The sequence below is a fragment of the Homo sapiens genome, chromosome 1 (genome assembly GCF_000001405.40).
Source record: "Homo sapiens chromosome 1, GRCh38.p14 Primary Assembly".
NCBI lineage: Eukaryota > Metazoa > Chordata > Mammalia > Primates > Hominidae > Homo > Homo sapiens.
The window spans coordinates 41,155,377-41,173,710 of NC_000001.11; the positions used below are offsets into that span (position 1 = coordinate 41,155,377).

Genomic DNA, 18,334 nt, shown 5'->3' on the forward strand with positions numbered 1-18,334 from the left:
TAGCAAAATACAATACAGCCAAAGTTTGCCCACATGGAGCTTACAACAAACAAACAAACAATGTTTTGCTCCACATGGAGCAAAAACAAACAAACAAACAAACAAACAATATTTTGCTCCACATGGAGCAAAAACAAACAAACAAACAAACAAACAAATACGTCAGCTGGTCCAGAGGGTAACAGAGACACCAGATTAATTATACAATTCCTGGCTATTTTGAAATTTAAAAAAATAAAAGTAAGAGGTAAAGAAGGTGTGCTATTTTAGCCAGGGCAGTCAAAAAAGACATCTTGATAAGGTGATACAAAAGTTGACATTTGGGCCGGGCGCAGTAGTTCACTCCTGTAATCCCAGCACTTTGGGAGGCTGAGGCGGGCAGATCACCTGAGGTCAGGAGTTCAAGACCAGCCTGGCCAACATGATGAAACCTCGTCTCTACTAAAAGAAATACAAAAATTAGCTGGGCGTGGTGGCAGGCACCTATAATCCCAGCTACTTGGGAGGCTAAGGCAGGAGAACTGCTTGAACCCGGGAGGTGGAGGTTGCAATGAGCTAAGATCGCACCACTGCACTCTAGCCTAGGTGACAGAGTAAGACTCCGTCTCAAAAAAAAAAAAAAAAAAAAAAAGCTGAGATTTGAATGGTCCTTCCAGCCTCTGCTGAAATACTTCCAGTCATGGGACACTCATTATTTAGCTATTTAGCTATTACTCAACAGTACAAATGGACAGACCGCTCTTTATAGTCAGCCAACATCTGCCTTCTAACCTCTACTGGTCCTAGATATATCTAATCTCTATGTCCCAAATCCCTCAACTGCTCCTAATTTGACAGGCTGGCTACTCATGTCTGGCTACTGTTCTGGCCACATTCCTTTACAAGAACTCTACTTTGTTCAACCTAAATGTGAACCCAAATTCTTAAAAACAATTAAGCATAATCAACATCTTTAGATCAGAAATTCCACTCCACTATTACCGTATAAATAGTGTTCCATGTACCAAAATTTAAATAACAATATATTTGTTAAACGCCACTGATGGTAATTTAAGTGTCTTTATTTTATTTTTTTTGAGACGGGGTCTTGCTTTGAGTCAGTGTCAGGCTGGAGTACAGTGGTGTGAACACAGCTAATTGCAGCCTTGACCTCCCGGGCTCAAGCGATCCTCTCATCTCAGCCTCCCTAGTAGCTGGGACTACAGGTGTGTGCCACCATTCCTAGCTAATTTTTGTATTTTTTGTAGAGACAGGGCTATGCCAAATTGCCCAGGCTGTTCTCGAACTCCTGAGCTCAAGTGATCTAACTGCCTCGGCCTCCCAAAGTGCTGGGATTACAGGCATGAGACACAGATTTGGGATTTGTCCTAAGGGTGGGATTAGTGGACAAAGAGCATGCATAGTTTAGATTTTGATACAACATATATATTGCTGAAATATCCTCTAGAAAGAACATACTGATTTTTCTTCTTAGAGGCAGGGTTTCCCTATGGTGCCCAGGCTAGTTGCAAACTCCTAGGCTTGTCATCTTCCTGCCTCGGACTCCCAAAGTGCTGGGATTACAAGTATAAGCCAACTTTTTTTTTTTTTTTTTTTTTGAGACAAAGCCTCACTCAGATACCCAGGATGGAGTGTGGTGGCACAATCATATCTCACTGTAACCCCGATCTGGACTCAAGCAACCCTCCCCGCTCAGTCTCCAGAGTAGCCGGGACTACAGGTGTGCACCACTATGCTTGGCTAATTTTTTTCTTTGTAGTAGAGACAAGGTCTCACTATATTGCCCAGACTCAATTTCTATTCCTACCGAAAGTACACAGGTGTGTTTACCACATATTTGCTAAAACTGTGTTTTAACAATTTCCATAATTTTGACAAATCTTATCAGTGAAAAAATAAAATACTATTATAATTTTATTTGCAATTCTTTGATTACTAATAAAGTCAAAGATCTCTTTAGGCTTATCAGCCAGTCTGTATTTTATTTAGCCATTTTTCTGCTGAGATATTCTTTTGTTTTCTCATAGATTCTAGGAGTTCTTTGTAGATTAAGGAAAAGTCACTAGAAGAATTTTTACTTAATAGAAATAAAGCATCTAGAGAAAGTGTTCTTTTCACTATACCACAGGGTCCCTCTGAAAAGACACAGACTTTCAGGCAACAGAAAGAGAGCCTTAGATAAGGCAGAGAAATCAGAGGTGTTTTCGAAGGTCCAGGCAGATATCCTGATATGAGAAAGGTCTGGATTTGGGAGGCTTCACAGATGTAGAATCACAATATTCAAGCTACAAAGGACCTTAGTGTTTCCTAAAACTCATGGCTTTCTTGGTCCCATATCTTTGCCCATGTTACTCACACTCAGTGACTAAAGCTCAGCAAAAATTTTACATTTTCTGTCAGAAGGCTTTGCAGAAAAGGGCTGGACAAATTTTACCATCTCCCTATCTCCTATAACATCCTGTTCACATCATATCACCATAATTATTTATGTAAGCTCTTTATGGATGGGGGCTTATATTCATTTTTAAAATCTTTACTGTTTAACACAGTGCCTGAAATTTAATAGAGGCTCAATATGAGTTTCTGAGTGAATGAAAAGAAGCACACAAGTAATATTCCTATTCTTTCTTGGACTAATAAAATAATACCTGGGATATAGTTCTGAAAACTACACTTTGAGAGAGAGCAAATCTGAGTTTAAATGATTACCTAGTGATGGTAAACAGACCCAAAACCACATCACCTGAGGACCAGGTGAAGGAACATGAACAATTAGCATGAGTAAAAAAGTGAAGTCTCAGAGCCATTCCCCATCCATCCAACAAATATTTATAGTGTGTGTCAAAGCACTGTGCTGAGTGCTGGACATATAACTGTAATCAAAATATCATCCTTAACCTCACAGAGCTTCAGTCTAGTGACAGACAGAGAATCTAGTGAGGGACAGAGACTAAACAGTCACCACTAAGATAATGTGATAAGTGCTACACTGGAGAGACAGAGGGTGCTACAGGAGCACCCAGAGTGCTTGTGGAAACTTACCAAAGAAAGCTCTAGGCTTCTAAGCTAAAGTGTAAAAGGATAAGCAGGAGTCAAAGAAAAAGGAAACTCTTTTTGTTTGTTTCAGACAGAAAGAAAGGCATTATAAAGGCCCAGACATGAGAAAAAGCAGTTCTAAATGCAGATCTTTTGGTATGGCTGCTGGGTGGAGTTTACAGAAAAAGTAGTTTAGAAAAAGGTTACAGATAAAGGCAGTGTTCAGTCATTAGCGAGCCAAATATACTGTATTACTGAGAAGAGGAAGTCTTCAAGCGTTTGGGGTGAAGTCATTCTGGCTGTAGTGTAAAGAATGGGCAGGAGGGTGATAGGGCTGGAGGCAAAAAAGACTAGTTAGGAAGCTGTTTTAATAATCTAGGTGTGAGATTCAACTATGAAAGCGGCAGAGTGGCAATGAGAAGGCAGTCCCTAGAGCTTCTCTCTAAAAATCAGGGCCAGTAAGTGAAAAATAGGCTAACCCTGTTTCATATGGCCAGAAAGTCAGAGGGATGACTAACAGAAATTACAAAAAGAGCAAATTTTTGACCAATAAATATGTCTAAATATGAAATGAATTACGTGAGGAGGTTCTAAGTCCTCAAAAACTTGAGGAGTTCAAGATAAGACATTTTACAAAAAATTCAAAATGTTGAGTTTTAAATGCTGGGCAAGGGTAGATTATTTTATGGTCTTTTCCAACTTTGAGATTCCACAGATCTACTGAATTTTATTTCAGTTTGCTATTTGGAGCTGCTCCTTATGCTAGATGGTAAAAATGAAATATGCAGGATTAACTTACATCAGAGGATATGCCTATGCAACCAATGCTCTAGGAAAAATACACTTTCAAATTTTAACATCTTTTAGTAACTGATATACTCTATGTTAAATTGAGTACCCACATTTCACAACTCCCCATCAACAGTTTACAATATGCCTTAAGCTGTCACTGAGCTACAATTGTTATTATCATTCATATTAGCGACAAAACCAAAAACAACAGCAGCTATCACTGTCTTCCATTTGCCTGTACCATGCCAGACTACGTCCATTATCTCCTGTGTTCATTATAACCTGCAAAGTAGGTTTTACTCCCATTTTAAAGATGAGGAAATAGGCTTAGAAAGATTAAGTAATTTGCCTGAAGTCACAAAACTGGTAAGTGGGAATAGGAATTTGAACCTTGGTTCAAATTGTCTGACTCCTATGTCCATGTTTTTTCTACCACACATCAGTACCTTAAAAAGCTTGAGGAAAGTTTTAAAGAATAATAAAAAATAACTATCATTTATCAAGTGCCAGGCACCTTTACCTGCATTATTTCATTTCATTCATTTCTTCAGCTCACATTCATAGAATGCTTCACTTCAAAGAATGTCAGAAGATTTGACTTTTAGAGTAAAGTCTGAGTATAGCCGCTGAACAGAATGAAAATCATAATAATCCTCCAAAGTTGAAAAGTATTTGAGAGTTTTTAAGATGTTTTCACATCCATTAGCTCATGTAATCTTCTTTACAACCCTGTGAAGTAGGCAGAATGGGATTATTATCCCCATTTTACAAATAAGAAAACTAAGGATCAGAGTCACAAAGTTACTAAGTGGCAGAACTGGCTCTCAAAAAGCCTAGGAGTTCTGACTCCTAGTCTAGTGTTCTACTACTTCATGTTATCTTCTGTGTCACTGGGCAATGGAAAGTAATATGTTGCAGGAAAGAAAGGCAAGAGGAGGCAAATAGACAATGATAATAATAGAGCTAAATAAATATCAAGTTGTAACAAAATATATCAAAATACTTGAACAAAAATTGATACAGGTATCTGGATATCAAAATCTATGTAACATATAAAAGGATTTTAAAGGATTCTAAAATGTTAAGACTGATGTTTATGCAGGAACTCTGATTGAGAAGTATTAGAACTAGTTTTATTACTCAAATCTTAGTCCTGAAATACACTAACCAGGGAGGAAAACCAAATGCAATTATTGGTCTGACTTCTTACTTGATAATATTTTAATATTTCAGTTTTTATTTGTCAATAAAGTTAGAAAATGTTTAGGTTTAGTTTCAGTTCAATTTATCTTACAAGTAATTTTTTTGGGGGAAAAATCCCACCAAACACTGATTTATGGATGGCAGGGGTTTGTTTTAGTTCTGGATTCAGTAAATTAAGATGGTATTTCCAGTTTGGTTCAGTTCCTGTTCTCCCCTATACCCCATGTAATTAACCACCTTCCCTCCCTTCTTGTTAGCTTGGTCTGTGGCCTACTGATAAGCAGGACTTGATGTGACAGCTGAGATGAAGTACATGGGATAATTAGGCAGACAAGAGCACAGGATTCACTGGTTTCTGAGACAGAGACACGTGGAATTCTTTTCCTCGTTGGTTAAAACTGGTTATAATCTAATCCCTGGTTTACCAATTCCCCTTATTTAACAGAAACACAAGAAAAATAGCTTACCTAGATCCAGGATGTCAGCAGCTTCTAGTAAAGAAAAAAATGTTGGAGCATAAGTCATTAAGACAAACATACCAACATGATGGAAGGTGAAATTCTGGGGTAAAATAGGAAATCGAGTATTTGTCTAGTTCAGTTATCTCATCCTAAAAGACACTGAGATTCTTAGTAGTCATTGTGGAAGCACACCACCCAATTTTGCCTATTCCCAAGCCTAAACTTATACAAACTATAGAAAACCCAGAGAGGCTAAGCAACCGTGCCTAAAACTATGAAGCTAATTTGGGATTACCTATACTCAGAATCTAGGTTTCCTATTTCCAGCTAAAACAAAGTATATTGCTTATGACCAATACCTCTGTAAACTGCAATATTTGCTTCTGATATAACAATTGAGTTATTTGTAAACTCAGACCTCTAACAACGAAGGTTTTATGGGAAAAGATGCCGAGTAAAATTTTTCCACACCAAACGGAGTTTTTTCCCCCTTACCTTGATATTGGGATGCAGACTCTGATAGGTGACCATATTTGTGTTTTCTAACATCACTCCAGTCTATCACTGCAGAGGGAGAGAAAAATAGTCATGTGGAAAGAAAGTATAAGATTAAATACTTTTCCAATTTGGCAGTATGTATTAACAGTTTTTAATAAAGTAATCCACTTCCGAGATTCTATGCTAAGGAAAAATACTCCAAAATACAAGAAAAAGGTTTTATGTAAAAAGCCTTGGCATTGTTTACAATAACAAAAAAAGGAACACCTAAATGTTCAAAATAGAAGACTGATTAAGATTTGATAATACAAACACTTGACAAAGTATTTTGAAGCTGTTAAATTTTTAAAAGGCTAAAGAACAAATGGGAAAATGGTTATGTTATGTTATTAGGTAAAATATGGGGATAAAAATTATATTCATGGAATGATCACAATTATTTAAAACACTAAAAACAAACAGCACCCCAGTTATGGGCTCAACTGTATCCTCCAAAACTTCATGCTAAGGTCCCCACTCCGCAGTACCGCAGAATGTAACTGTATTTGTGATGGCAGCGGTGGGCCATCTGGAGCAGCTGCTGTCATCATGCCGGCTGCAGCAGGGAGGCACAGCTGGGAATGCATGCTCCATGGAGCCGGTGGGAGCCTGGGAGCAGGCAGGAGTCCCGCCATCCTGGGTGCAGCTGCAGCCACCCAAACCGAGGCTGCAAACCCAGACCTCCTGCTCCATGGAACAGGCAGGAGCCCTGCCGTGACGGGCACAGCTGCAGCCACCCAAATGTGGCTGCAGACCCAGGTACCCCTGCACTCTTGGGGGTCCAGCCAGGACCCCTCTTCCCTCCCAGGATCAGAAATGCCTGCTCCCCCTGCCTGGCTTCTCCCTGCTGTTGGCACCTGTTCTGATCTTGGAGCAAAGTCAGGGTGGAGTCTGGATGCTATGAATGGCAGCAGGAGGCAGATAGGTTCCTAAGCAGAAAAGGGCGGATCCCTGGTGAGGCCCACCTTCAGGCCAGGGAGAGCCTGAAGGCTGGGGGCTGAACTGCCAGTCCTGCAGACTGGAGTGGGGACTTGTGGTGCCTTTTCCAGGCCTGCCTATGGCCACCCATAGACCAATGGGCACACACTTCCTCCCCTCTGAGGTCCATAAAAGCCCCAGGATCAGCCCCAGAGCAGAGCAGAGGACGAAGATATGACTGAACAATCTGCCTGCAGAAAGAAGCCACCCATTCTAGGGCCTCCTCTTTGCTGAGAGCTGCAGAGATGACGTGACAACCTGCTTGCAGAGAGGAGCCACCCACTCTAGGGCCTCCTCTCTGCCTCTGCAGAGAACTGCAGAAGATGGGATGACCAGCTGCAGAGGAGCCACCCTCTCTGCTGAGAAGTGAGTGAACACTTGTTGGGAAAACCTACCTGCAGAGAGGAGCTATCCTTCCTGCTAGGGGCTGAACACTCACTGGGACGCCCTGGCACTGTGAGTCTTCTCTGAGCTGTTCCATTGCTCAATACAGCACCTCTTCATCTTGCTCACCCTCCACTTGTCTGCGTACCTCATTCTTCCTGGTTGCAGGACAAGAACTCGGGATCTGCTGAACGGCGTGGCTAAAAGAGTTGCTGTAACACCAAAAGGGCTGAAATATGCCCCCTGCTTGCTGCAGTTTGGGCAAAGAGAAGGAGGGAAGAGCTGCAGCCCTTTGGGGAGCCCAGACCTGGGAGCTTCCGGAGTCAGGGCTGTGACTCCCTCTTTCCGGCCCTGTGGTTCCTCCAAGCTTTTGGGGACTACTGCATTCTTTGGTGCCAGCCAGGGAAGCTGCTTGTGGTGTGCCTGGTCCAGCTGCAGCCTCACAGAGAGCTGGCATCCATGCTGCACCTGGAGCTGCCCACTTGCGGCAGGAGCTGGTGTGTCTGACTGCGCAGTAGATGGGCCCCAAGCTCGTTCATACACACTCCTCACCACTCCATGCCTAACTCCAGTCTCTCTTGGAGGCGTGAGATCCAGGCTGATAGCATGAGCAGCCTGCCAGGCCAAGTGAGTGGAACGAGCCCAGTGGGCCCAAGCAAAACTCAGGCAAAGGCACCACTGGCCACAGGTTTCCGGCCAGAAAAGCAACACCCCTAGGATCCCACAATATTTGGAGAAAGGGTCTTCAAAGAGATAATTAAGTTAAAATGAGGTCACTAAGGTGGTCGCTAATTCAGCATGACTGGTGTTATCATAAGAAGAGAAGGTTTGGACACAGGTACAGAGAAAATATCATGTAATCAACAGAGGGAGAAGCCTCAGAAGCTAAGGAGTGAGGCCTCAGAAGAAAGAAATCAACCTTGCCAATCAATGCCTTGATCTTAGACTTCTAGCCTTCAGAATTGTGAGGAAATAAATTTCTGTTGTTTAAGCCACCTAGTCCATGATATTTGTTACAGCAGCCCTGGAAACTTAGACAACTGCGGAAATTATCATTAGAAAAAAACATATAAGTAAACACAGCAAATATAAACAACTGGTTATCTTTGGGTGGTAGTACTGGGTTCCCTGACACTGCACCCACTTTCTACTTTATAATCTTATATATTTTCAAATTTTCCATAAAAAGGATACATTACTCATATAAGGAGAATATATTTTCCTTGGTTGAAAATTTAGATTCATCTACTGACTCTACTACTTTCTCACCATCAATCACCTATCATGTCTTTACTTAATTTCTTGCCCAGCTCAGACTCCATGGTCCCTCATTAACATCATTCTCTGGCAAACACTCTTAATTCCTCCTTCCCATCTCTTTTTTGTCAAACGTACCTACTAAAGGCTCAATCCTAAATCTGGTTAAATCACGTATCAACCTATACTGTGCCTACCCCAGCAGCTCACTAGTGCTGAAGAAAAACATATGCAAGCTAATTGGTCTCATTTTAAACTCATAGCTATAATTCTCAAATGCCACTTTACACCACCCAGAAATCATACCACATTTCTACACTATGTTTACTTTTCCAATTTCTAAAAAAAAAAATTCGTATCTTTCTCTCTCTCCTCAAACTCCAAATATACTCTCCCCAACTTCACTCTTAGGGGATGACTTTAATTCAGATTCATTGAGAAAACAGAAATAAGGGTAAGACCCTTCCACTTATTTCACGACGGTAGAGACTTGATCTTGTTTAGTGGTGAATCCCCAGTAAGTAGTATAGTAACAGGCGCTCATTAAATGTCTGGTGAATAAATTACCTATTCATTCATGATTTTTTCTGACTTCTCTCCTGTTACTGTGGATGAAGTGTCTCTGTTTTTATCAAAAGCCAACCCTCCATTTTAGCTGCAGGTCCCAGAGTCTCTCATCCTCTCAAAAACCTTGCAAGTATCCCCTTTATTTTTTTTGCTTTTATTTGTAATTGGCCAACAATAATTTTACATATTTATGGGGTATAAAGTGATGTTTCAATATACGTACACATTGTGGAATGATCACACCAGAGTATAGCAATTAGTATATCCATTACTTTAAATATTTATAATTTCTTTGTGGTGAGAACATTTAAAGTTCTCTCTTTAGCTATTTCGAAATACATAATACATTATTATTAACTACAGTCAACATGCTCTGCAATAGAACACCAGAACTACTCCTCCTATCTAACTATAAGTTTCTACCTGTTGACCAATGTATCCCTTTTTTCTATACTCACCCCTCCCCTCCCAGCCTCTGGTTATCACCATTCTACTCTCTACTTCTCTATAAGTTAGACTTTGTTTAGATTCTACATGTGAGATTATATGATATTTGTCGTTCTGTAACTGACTTCAACATTACATCCTCTAGGTTCATCCACGTTGTCAAAAATGACAGAATTTCCTCTTTTTTAAGGCAGAATGTATTCCATTGTGTATATATACCACATTTTTAAATCCATTCATATATTGATGGACACTTAAGTTATTCCCATATCTTGGCTACTGTGAATAGTGCTGCAATGAATACGGGCATGCAGATGAAGCTACCCTTCAACATACTGATTTCATTTCCTTTGGGGATATAGCCAGTAGTGGGATTGATGCATCATATGGTAATTCTATTTTCAGTATTTTGAGGAACCTCCATCCTGTTTTTCAAAATGGCTGTACTAATTTGTGATATCCGTAACAGTGTATAAAGGTTCCTTTTTCTTGTAATCCTTGCCAACATTTATCTTTCATCTTTTTGATAAGAGCCAACCTAAAAGGTGTTGGCTATAGGGTATCTCACTGTGGTTTTCATTTGCATTTCTCTGATGATTAGAGATGTTGGACTTTTTTAATATATCTGTGGCCCATTTATATGTTTTCTTTTGAAAAATGTCTATTCAAGTCCTTTGCTTATTTTTAACAGGGCTGTTTTCTTGTTGCTGAGTAGTTTGAGTTCCTAGTATATTTCGGATATTAGTCCCTTCTCCAGTGTATCATTTGCAAATATTTTCTCCCAATCTGTGTGTTGTCTCTTTCCTTCATTGTTTCCTTTTCTATGCAGTAGCTTTTCACTTTAATGCAATTCCATTTGTCTATTTTTGCTTTTATTGCTTATGCTTTTGGGTTCATATCAAAGAAATCTCTGTCCAGACCTCTAGCAGTTTTATAGTTTCAGTTTCATAGTTTCAAGTCTTTATTCCATTTTGAGTTGATTCTCATATGAGGGGTGAAATAAAGATCCACTTTCATTCTTCTATATGTGGATATCCAGTTTTCCCAATACCACCTTTTGAACAGATTGTCCTTTCCTCAATGTGTGTTCCTGTCAAAAAGCAATTGACTGTAGATGCATGGGTTTATTTCTGGGCTCTCTGTCCTATTTCATTGGTAGACTTGTCTGTTTTTATGCCAGCATCATGCTTTTTTGATTGCTATAGCTTTGTAATAAATTTTGCAATACAGTAGTGTGATGTCTCCAGCTTTGCTCTTTTTGGTCAAGATTGTTTGGCTATTTGGGATCCTTTGTGTCTCCCCCACATTAATTTTAGCATTGTTTTTTCTACTTCTGTGAAGAATGACATTAGAATTTTGATGGCAGTTGCATTAGATCTGTAGATTTCTTCTGGTGGTATAAATATTTTCACAATATTAATTCTTTCCATCCATAAACACTGGGTATCTTTCCACTTATTTGTGATGTCCTTAATTTCCTTCATCAGTGTCTTACAGTTCTCAGTGTATAGATCTTTCACTTCCTTGGTTAAATTTTCTTCTAAGTATTTTACTTAGAAGTAAGTGGTATTGTAAATGGGATTGTTTTCTTAATTTCTTTTTCAGAAAGTTCACTGTTAGTGTATAGAAATGCTACTGACTTTTGTAAGTTGATTTTGTATCCTGCAACTTTCCTGGATTTGTCTAATTCAAATGGTGTTTTGGTACAGTCTTTGAGATTTTCAATATGTAAGATCATGTTGTCAGCAAACAGAGACAATTTCATTTCACTCTTTCCTATTTGGATGTCTTTTATTTCTTTTTCTTGCCTAATTGCTCGGGCTAGGACTTCTGGTACTATGTTGAACAGAAGTGGTAAGAGCGGGCATCCTTGTCTTGTTCTAGGTCTTATAGGAAAAGCCTTCAACTTCTTACCACTGAGTACAATGTTAGCTATGAGCTTGTCATATATGGCCTTTATTGTGTTGAGGAACATTCCTTCCATATCTAATATATTGAGAGTTTTCATCATGAAAGGATGTTGAATTTTGTCAAATGCATTTTCTCCATCTATTTAGATGATCATGTGATTTTTGTCCTTTATTCTGTTACATGGTGACTCACATTTATTCATTTCCATCACATCCCAAGGGCAAATCCCACTTAATCATGGTGAATGATCCTTTTAATATACTACGGAATATGGTTTCTTAGTATTTTGTTGAAGATTTTTGCATCCATGTTCATCAGTGAGATTGGTCTGCAGTCTTCTTTTTCTTCTTACCATTCAGATGAAGGGAGATGTAGTCTTCTTCTCTTGTTGTATCTTTGTCTGGCTTTGGTATCAAGGTACTGCTGGCCTCATAAAATAAATTTTGAAGAATTCCCTCCTCTTCAACTTTCTGGAAGAGTTTGAAAAGGACTGGTATTGGTTCTTCTTTAAGTGTCTGGTACAATTTGGCTATGATGCCATTAGGTCCTAGGCTTTATTTTGATTGGAGACTTTTAATTACTGATTGAATCTCATTACTCATAACTGGACTATTCAGATTTCCAACTGCTTTGTGATTCAGTCTTGGTAAGCTACATATTTCTAGCAATGTATTCATTTCTTCTGGTTGTCCAATTTGTTGGCTTATAACTGTTCATAGTAGTCTTTCATGATCCTTTGTATTTCTATGTTGTCAGTTGTAATATCTCCTCTTTCAGTGAGTTTTATACTTTCATGTTTTCACGTTGCTGATTAACGTTCTCTTCCGAATTCCCTTTAGCATTTCTTGTAAGGCTGGTCTAGTGGGGATAAATTCTGTTTTTATTTGAGAAAGTCTTGATCATCCCTTTGTTTTTTGAAAGACAGGATTGCTGGGTATAGTATGCTTTGCTGGCAGTGTTTTGTTTTTTTTTTTTTTTTCCTTTCAGGGTTTTGAATGTATCATCCTACTCTCTTCTGATCTGTAAGGTTTCTGCTGTGAAATCCACTGCTGGCCTTAGGGTGGTTCCCTTACATATGACAATTCACTTTTCCCTTGCTGTTTTCAACTCTCTCTAACTTAGAATTTGATTATAACTTGCTTTGGTGTGGATCTTTTCGGGTTCATCTTATTTGGTGTTCTTTGGGCTTCCTGGATTTGGCTTTCTATCTCCTTCCCCAGGCTTGGGAAGTTTTCTGACATAAGGCTTGGGAAGTTTTCTGACATAATTTCTTTGAATATATTTTATTTCTTCTTTTTCTGACATATCAATAATGCATTTGTTGTCCACTTGATGGTGTCCCACAGGTCTCATAAACTATCTTTAAACTATCCTTTTCATTCTTTTTTCTTTTTGCTCAGATTGGATTTTTTTCAGTGACCTGTCTTTGATTTCATCGATCCTTTCTTCTGCTTCATTGAATCTGCTGTTGAATACCTCCATTGAATTTTTTTAGTTCAGTTACAGTATTTTTCACATCTTTGATGTCTATTTGGTACTATTTTATACTTTCTATCTCTTTGTCAAAGTTCTTAGTTTGTTATTTCATTGTTCTTTTGACTTCAGTGAACATCTTTATAACCATTATCTTAGATTCTCTGTCAGGTAAATCACATATCTCTATTTCACTTGTGGAGATTTGTCTTTTTTTTTTTTTTTTTTTGGGAATAGATTCTCTGTTCTTTGATTTTTGTGTTAGCTTCTATGCATTACATAAGAATATAACCTCTCCCAGACTTGTCAGACTGGCCTCATGTAGGAGAAGGATCTCACCAATCCATCCAGCCAAAAATTTTAAGGTGCTCTCTAATCTCTGTGTTTATTCAGACTGCTGTCTCTTTTTTGATGGTCCCCTCGAGCTTAGGATGTACCACATTCCATCAATACCCCCACAATACCGTAGAGTAGGAGCCAGAATCTCTAGATGTAGCTGGAGATGTTGAGGTGCTGAATGGGTTTTCCATTTCCTTCTATCTTCACAGCTGAGCCTGAGCATTTATGTCCCACTCTCTGTCTGCTCTAAGCTAAGGAGAAGATCTGTGGCAAAAACCTGTACTCAAATTCAGGTTGCACCCTCTGATCCTGAGGAGAAGCTCGTAGAAGTGGTCCTACTGTACGTCCACCTTTTTGTTTGCTGTGGTCTAAGGCTACTCATGAATGCAAAGCTCCACTGACTCCCAAAGCTTGTCCCTTGGGTGGAAGTTATAGAAGTTGTGGCACTTGAGACATGACGAAACTCCTTCCAGGAAGAATGAGTAGCCTTGGATTTATCACTGAGATTAGCTAGAGGGCTACTGTTTGTTTTCCCATCAGCTCCCGAATGTAAGTTCATTAGAAGCCAGGCTGCCAAGTAGCTGCTGGAAGTGTGTGCTATAAGCCCCTTCTGGAGAACAAATGGGACCTACATGTTCCTACTTCCTTTCTGCACTGCTCACTGCTCAGAGGAGGTATAACCTCTGAAGGTATTTGTATACCTATTTAAAGCCACCCCCATTGTTCTGTGATCTAGAAAAACTCATCTATGCCTAGTCCCCTTGGCTCCCAGAGCTAAGATGTTTAGGATATAATCCTTTGGGAGACAGCTGTAAAAGTTGGGACACTCGTTGTGTGGACATACGCCTATCAGGGTGGTGTCAGGTTAATATTTGTCTACCCCTTTAATTCCTCAATGCAAGTTAGTTGGAAGCCAGGCTGGCAAGTAGTCACCAGAAGAGTATGTCATAAATCCCTTCTGGGGAAAAACAGGGGGCTACATTTTAAGCCCCTTCTCTGCACTTCTCCTGGGGAATAAAGTCCAGCGATGTGCTTCTGCACCCGTATAAATCTGCTGCTTTTTTCCTGCAGAGGTCTAGAGATCTGCATAGGCCAATCCCTTCTTCTCCCAGAGCTGAGAGTTTTAGGATGTAGACCCTCGGTGGAAGCTGTGAAAGCTGAGGGACTCAATGTGTGGACAAACTCTTCCCAGGCTGGTGGCAGGTTAATATTTGACTGCCCCTAAACTCCCCCAATGTAAGTTAGTTAGAAGCCAAACAAACAAGAAGCTGCTGGAATAGTGTGTCATAAACTCCTTCTGGGGGCAAACAGGGAGCTTCATTTCTTAAGTCCCTTCTATGTATTGCTCCTGGGGGATGAAAGCTCTGAAGTGCTTAAATGCCCATATCTAACTGCGGCTTTTTTCCTGTGGTCTAGAAAGACTTGCGTATGTCTAATCCCCTCTGCTCCCAGAGTTGGTGAATTAAGAGCCAGACCATGAAGAATCTTAAGTTAGGATGCTATATGTGGGGTTAAAACCCTCCTCTCCATGGGGAGAAGTTGGATGCTGGGGCTTCCCTTCCCAATTTTATGGCACAATGCCCAGGGTGGGGTCTGGCCCTAGCGTGCTTCAGTTTTTCCTACCCATTCGATGAGGATGTTTCCTCAGTTGCCCCATGGGTAGGAATCTTTCAACTAGTCTCTGACTTTCTCTGAGAGAGAACTGATCCATGAATAGATATTTATTTGGTGCATTCATGGGTGGAGGGAGAGTCAGGAGTTTCCTATTCTGCCACATTGCTGACCCTACTATCAAGTACCTCCTTTCTAATAGGTCATTTGCCACCAGCATTCTTATTGCTCTATTATTTCCTATCAATGAAAACCTAAAATAAACAAAACCTCATATCCTTCTCTTAATCCCACACATATCCCTCCTATTATATCCCTCTATTTCTTTGCTCTCCTTCACAGGAAAATTTAAGAGTTATCTGCAGTTATTGCCTCCTCACTACTTCACAGTTATTGCTACCTCACAGTTATTGCCTCCTCACTACCCCATACTATCTCCTCATTCAAATAGGGTGTGTCTGCTCACCACACCATTAAGATTACTTCCAAATTCACATTTCCAGAACTGGATTCTTAGAATCCCACACACATTCACATAAACAACTACCTATAGGCCATCACTACATGGTTATCAATCAGATATTAAAAACTTAACATGACTAAAACAGAAGGCCATCCTCTGTCATCTTGTTACTTTTTGTCTTCCCCAACCCAGTAAATGGCACCTCCATCACTTATTTGCATAGAAATTATGCATAAGTTCAGCAGCATAGACTTCCACTTACCAAGGCCAATCTGGCGATGGCCACTGCTGAGTGCCCAATCTGCCAGTAGCAGAGATCAACATTGAGCCCCTGATATGGCACTATTTCCCAGGGTGATCAGCCAGCTACCCAGTGGCTGGTTGATTACAATGGACTGCTTCCTTCATGGAAGGGACAGCATTTTGTCCAGCTGGAATAGACATTTACTCTGGATATTGATTTGCCTTCCCTGCATGCAATTCTACTGTCAAAACTACCAACTGCAGACTCACAAAATCCCTTATCCACCATTACAGACAGCACTGCTTCTGACCAAGAAGCCACACAAAGAAGTGTGGCAATAAGCTTATGCTCATGGAATTAATGATCTTAACATGCATCATCCTGAAGCAGCTGGCTTGACAGAACTATGGAATGGCCTTGTGGTAAAACCCTGTCTACATTAAAAATTAAAAAAAAAAAAGATGCAGTTACAGTGCCAGCTAGGTGACAGTACTTTTACTGTCATCCAACAGCTGTATAATATACATTATTTTCATAAGCACATGAAGCATTCTCCAAATTAGACCATAAGTAAATCTCACCAAATTTAAGAGAACTGAAATCATATCAAGTATCATTTCAGACCACAATGGAATAAAAATAGAAACCAATAACAAGAGGAACTTTCAAAATTGTAGAAAAAGAAACAAATTAAACATGTTTCTGAATAACCAATGGGTCAATGAAGAAATTAAGGAGAAAATTTTAAAGTTTCTTGAAACAAATGAAAATAGAAACGTAACATACCCAAACCTATGGGATACAGCAAAAGCAATATTAAGAGGAAAGATGGCTGGGCGCGGTGGCTCACGCCTGTAATCCCAGCACTTTGGGAGGGTGAGACAGAAGTATCACTTGAGCCCAGGACTTCAAGACCAACCTGGGCAACATGGCAAGACCCCATCTCTACAAAAAATACAAAAAGTTAGCCAGGATGGAGGCACATGCCTGTGGTCCCAACTACTTGGAGGCTGAGGTGGGAGGATCTTTTGAGAGGTTAAGGCTGCAGTGAGCCATGTTCATACTACTGCACTCCAGCCTGGGCGACAGAGCGAGACTCCATCTCAAAAAAAAAAAAAAAAACGCTGTACCAAAAAATTCTTAGAACTGATAAACAAATTCAGGAAAGCTGCAGGACATAAAATCAACATATAAAAATCAGTAGCACTGAACCAACAATGAACTAGTAAAAAAGAAATCAAGAAAGTAATCTCATTTACAATAGCTATAAAAAAAAACCTACAAATAAATTTATCCAAGGAGGTGAAAGATCTCTACAAGGGAAATTACAGAACATTGATGAAAGAAATGGAAAAGGACACAAAAAAATAGAAATATATCTCATGTTCATGGATTGGAAGGCTTAATATTGTTAAAATGACCATACTACCAAAAGTCATCTATAGATTCAATGCAATCCCTATCAAAATACCAATGACATTCTTCACAAAAATAGAAAAAAAAACCCTAAAATTTGTACGGAACCATTAAAGTCTCTGAATAGCCAAAGCAAACCTGAGCAAAAAAGAACAAAGCTGGAGGCATCACATTACTGGATTTCAAAATATATTACAAAGATAAGGTAAACAAAACACCACAGTACTGGCATAAGAACACACATATATACCAATGGAACCCAGAATAGAGAACCCACAAATAAATCCATGTATTTACAGCCAACTGATTTTTGAGAAAGGCATCAAGAGCATTCACTGGGGAAGGGACAGTCTCCTCAATAAATAGTGCTGGGAAAACTGGATATCCATATGCAGAAAAATAAAACTAGATCCCTACCTCTCATCATGTACAAAAATCAACTAAAAACAGATCAAGACTTAAATGAAGGCCTGAAACTATAAAACTACTAGAAAAAAAATGTAGGAGAAATGCTTCAAGACATTGATCTGCACAAAGATTTTATGGAGAAGACTTCAAAAGCATAGGCAACAAAAGCAAAATTACACAATTAGACATCACGAGATTATATCAAACTAAAAAGCTTCTGCACAGCAAAGGAAACAATCAACAGAGGGAAAAGAGTACAGAATGGGAGAAATATATGTAAGCTATTAATCCAATAAGGGATTAATATCCAGAACATGCAGGGAGCTCAAACAACAGCAAAAAACAAAAAACTCCCCCCCAAAACACAAAACAACAAATAATCTGATTTAAACATAAACAAAATGAGCTGAATAAGTATCTCTCAAAAGAAGACATAGAAATGGCTAACAGGTATATGAAAAATGCTCAACATCACTAATCATCAGGGAAATGCAAATCAAAACCACAATGAAATATCATCTTACCCTAGTTACAGTGGCTACTAGTAAAAAGACAAAAATAAATGCTGACAAAAATGTGGAGAAAGGAGAACTCTTATTCACTGTTGGTGGTATTGTAAATTAGTACAGCTATTATGGAAAACAGGATGAAGGTTCCTCAAAAATCTGAAAAGAATACTACCATATGATCCAGCAATTCCAATACTGGGTATATATCCATAGGAAAGGAAATCAGTATGTCGAAGAGTTATCTGCACTCCCATGTTCATTGCAGCACTATTCATAATAGTCAAGATATGGGATCAAC

The 18,334-nt window shown here is 39.4% G+C and overlaps 1 protein-coding gene across 42 annotated transcripts in view, besides 1 other annotated feature; it reads right to left on the bottom strand.

The window, feature by feature from the left end:
• SCMH1 (Scm polycomb group protein homolog 1) overlaps window positions 1-18,334 on the bottom strand; it is a 215,105-nt gene that overhangs the window by 128,175 nt on the left and 68,596 nt on the right. For 20 of the 42 annotated variants that reach the window (XR_946584.3, XR_007096354.1, XR_002959761.2 and 17 more), the window contains 2 exons: window positions 5,988-6,056; window positions 5,499-5,522 (listed from right to left, as the gene is read on the bottom strand). Coding sequence is in view for 16 of the 42 variants with exons in the window: in XM_047449591.1 (XP_047305547.1) it covers window positions 5,499-5,522; window positions 5,988-6,056 (93 nt within the window). In the remaining 26 variants the exon portion in view is untranslated. Of the gene's footprint in view, window positions 1-4,348; window positions 4,558-5,498; window positions 5,528-5,987; window positions 6,057-7,402; window positions 7,604-18,334 lie in introns of those variants that run through there. The other 22 variants (NR_135092.2, NM_001172222.3, NM_001394309.1 and 19 more) reach the window with 4 other exon arrangements.
• Window positions 1,263-1,452: a silencer, noted in NCBI's record as "fragment chr1:41622311-41622500 (GRCh37/hg19 assembly coordinates)". NCBI's record gives its function as "represses an EF-1alpha promoter that drives an FKBP-Casp9 reporter gene in an ReSE screen in K562 erythroleukemia cells {active_cell/tissue: K562}" and the evidence as "EXISTENCE:reporter gene assay evidence [ECO:0000049][PMID:32094911]".